Here is a 4,317-nt window from a genome sequence, read left to right on the forward strand (position 1 = left end):
CTAAAGTATTTTGCCTACTAGCCTACTCAACTTTTATTATCAGCATAAACAATCTGCCCAATGAATCAACAAAGATAGTTCTTAGTTGAATCGTAGAAAAAAAAGTAACTTTGACAGAAAAATTATCTACACTTTTAATCTGATTAATAACATAATTCATATGATGTTAACTATAAATTTGAATGAAGTAGGAATACTGTAATTTGCCACAATTAAAAGGTTATCTGAAACCCTTACAATTTCTTAAATGCCAAATATTTATCATTTAGATACATTTTGGATGCAAATATAGACATTTTCCATACTGAGTTAACTTTTCTTAATGAAATGATTATAATGTAACAATATTGCTATTGAGTTGGTTCTGGGTATCCGGCAGAGCTAAATTCTGTTTCTGTCTACCCAATTTTCTAGCTTTATGGGCTAGCTAGACAACTACTTAAACTCCTGAAACTCACTTTTTCATATGTAAAATGGGGTTAATAATCCTCTACCTCTTAGTAATGCTGTAATATATGAAACTACACATTAACTTTCCCTAACAAATTGCTTGACTACCGAAAAGTTCTCAATAAATATTAGCTGTTTGCTTTAGGCTTGTGCAATACTTCTTATTTACTAACTGATTTTGAAAAGCTTATCTTTTCTTCTTCTTTTCATTCGAGTTTTGAGACATTCAATATGTACAAGGTTTTTTTTTTTGAAAAGTCCAGATTCATCTGATTAAATCCTTCATCAGTTTAGAGATTATGCATCCTCTCAGACCAGTGTTTTCATGATTGCATTGGCTTGGAGAATGTAAAACTATTTAGTCACTTCTCTACAGAAGTTTTTCTGTATGCTTATATTTTCAAGAGCCTCCATAGTTTAATAGAACTTAGAAAGACAAAACACTAATGGAAATATGAAAAAACTCAGTTTATTATCATATAACAAAAGTTATTATGACAGTTTATTTGAGTTATCTGTGTTGAATTTTTTTAAATTTTGAATTAAATGAGAAAACTTGTCCATGTATCCTCTTTTTTGGCCTGCATATGTTTTGAATACAAGGTAGTAGTATAGATTTTTAAATATGTGTGCTGGATATCTTTCTTCCATTTGCTTCTCCAAATACTCCATCCTTCACCTTTCTCTGTGCCCTAAGAAGTGTTTCCGAATGGATTATAACAATAGGGTTCTTGGACCTCTAGCTTCCTGTTGGGTTTATCATGTGGAATTCAACAGGGATGGGAGGGAAGAAAGAGAGGTTGGGGTTTATTCCTCCACATCCCTCTCTGCAGGTTTGTTTGAGGCTGGCTGCATCTCTCCATCACAAGTTACAGCTCATGCCAGATGGCTCTGCCACTCAGGCCTCTCCCTGTCTCACCTGGTTCTGGAAAATGCTGTCTCCCCTGCCCTTTCAGGCCAAGGGATAGGAGTGATAATGATACTTTTATATTTTTCTAGCCCCTAACCTAGTACTAACTCTGTGGTTTGTTTACATTCTTCCCACACTTTTATAATACTCACTTATGTTTATAATGTATTTTTATTATTATTTGAATTGTAATTCCTTTGAGAACAAAAATTTGTTACATTTTAATTCACCTCATTTTGTAATCATAGGGTTGTGGCTGTATAAGGATAGAAATAATGGGTAGGTTAGATAACAGTGCTGGAATTGAGGCTTTGAGTTGGGTAAGGTGTAAAGATATGTGCTGGTCAAGGGCCAAGGGATTTCAGGAGGATGTGGAGGGAACCTGGAAGTTTCCAGGGTTTCGCTGACAAAGACACTGGATTCTACAGGATTCTGCTGTCTCCCCAGTACACTGTAGCAGCTACAGAAGGAATACAGATAGGGAGAGAAAGTAGAGTTTTTTTTAATGTATTTTTTTTGTATATACTGCATGGTGTATAAGCTGATGACTTTGCTATGTTGGTGAGCTCAGCTTAACACCTTTCATGAGAGTACTCTTAGATAAAATGGAGTCAAAGTATAAATAAAAGATCAACATTGGTGTTTTACTAAGATATTTCAGAGATATCTATTTCTTGGGAATGAAAAAAATTGAGTTATATACAATCGAATAGTCTTCAAATATATATATATTTCAATATATATGTGTGTGTATTCATATATATATATATACACACACACACACACATACATATGTCATAGTCAATCTTATAGAGGAAATAGCTTCTAAAAATATCTATTGATATCCACATACAAAAATAAAGTGTAGACACAGACCTTACATTTTTCACAAAAATTAACTCAAAATATAATACAGACCTAAATGTAAAATGCAAAAATATAAAACTTCTACAACGTAACATATGTGATAACCTAGATGACTTTGGGGTTGATGATGTGACATCAAAGTGATGATCCATGAAAGAAAGATTTGGTAAGCTGGACTTTCTTAAAATTAAAAACTTCTGCTCTGTGAAAAATATTGTCAAGAAAATAGAAAGAGAAGCTACAGACTGGGAGAAAATATTTTTAAAAGACATATCCAATAAAGGACTATTATCTAAAATCTACGAAGAGCTCTTAAAACTCAAAGATAAAAAAGCAAACAGCCTAATTAAAAAATCTGTCAAAGACCTTAACAGACATCTTGCCTAAGAAGATACACAGAGGACAAATAAGCGTATGAAAAGATGTTCCATATCATATGTTATCAGAGAAATGCAAATTAAAACAACAATTGCATACCACTGCCCACCTATTAGAATGACAGACCCAAATGCTGGAAACGATGTGGGGCAACAGAACTCTCACTCATTGCTGGTGAAAATGCAAAATAGTACAATGACATTGAGAAAAAGTTTGGCAGTTTCTCACAAAATTGAATATACTCTTATCATATGATCCAGTAATTGTGCTCCTTGGTATTTACCCAAAGGAGTTGAAAATGTATGTCCATGCAAAAAACCAGCCCATGGGTGTTTAAAGCAGCTTTACTTATGATTGCCAAAACTTAGAAGCAACCAAAATGTCTTCCAGTTGGTAAATAGATAAAGAAGCTGGTACATCCAGATAATGGAATATTATTTGGTGTTAAAAAGAAATTAGGTAACCATCTACAAAAAGATATGGAGGAAATATAAATGCATATTCCTAAATGAAAGAAGCCAATATGAAAAGGCTACATACTGTATGATTTCAACAATATGACTGCTATTGATTGAATATGCTCCCCAAAGTTCACGTGTTGGAGACTTAATCCCCAATGCAACTGTGTTGGAAGGTGGGGCCTAATAAGAGGTGATTAGGCATAAAGGCTCTTCCTGCATAAATGGATTAATGTGATTATCAAAGGAGTGGGTCTGTTATAAAAGCAAATTCAGCCTCTCTTGCCCTCTTGCTCTTGCCCTTTCTTACCCTCTGCTTTTGTTACTAGATGATGATGAAACAGCATGACGGCATTTGCCAGATGCTGGCATCATGATCTTTGACTTTCTAGACTAGAGAATGATGATCCAAATGAATCTCTGTTCATTATAAATTACCCAGTATCAAGTATTCTATTACAGCAGCAGATAATGAAAAAAGACAATGACATGTTAGAAAAGGCAAAAGTATGGAGGCAGTAAAAAGATCAGTGGTTGCTAGATAGCAGTGAAAAGTGAGGGATGAATAGAGTGACTAGAGGAACACAGAGATTTACAGAGCCGTGAAACTATTCTGTATGACACCATAACGGTAGATGCATGTTATCATGCATTTGTCAAAACCCATTGGATGTACAAGACCAAGAGTGAATGCTAATGTAAACTACGGATTTTGGGTGATAATGTCAATGATAGTGTCAATGCAGATTTCATCAGCTATAACAAATGTACCACTCTGGTTAAGTTTCATCAACTATAACAAATGTACCACTCTGGTGAATGGCGAACAAAGGCACCATTATCTGTTGATAATGGGGGAAGTTGTGCATGTATGAGGGCAGGGGTTATATGGGAAATCTCTGAAACTTCCTTTGAATTTTGCTGTAAACCTACTCTAAAAAGAATAAAGTCTTTTTAAAGGTCTATGAAATCAATATAGAGTGTTTTTTAAGTTTGCTACTATATTCAACATCATTAATTAGTAGATGTGTTTTTGCCTAGAGTTTCACCAACTGTATGTTTTCTCAAGAATGTGAATATTTTGTAATGATTGCCTTTTGCAAGGTATTGCATCCACATAATTTCTAGGGCATCTATATTGCTTACTTATTAACAATCTACAGAATTGCAAAATTGGATCAGTGAAGAACTGAAGGTAGTCGGTAAGTCCAATTGTAATCCTTAAAACTGTTTAATCCCTAAAGGTACATTTGT

The sequence above is a fragment of the Homo sapiens genome, chromosome 5 (genome assembly GCF_000001405.40).
Source record: "Homo sapiens chromosome 5, GRCh38.p14 Primary Assembly".
In the NCBI taxonomy this organism is placed as follows: Eukaryota; Metazoa; Chordata; class Mammalia; order Primates; family Hominidae; genus Homo; species Homo sapiens.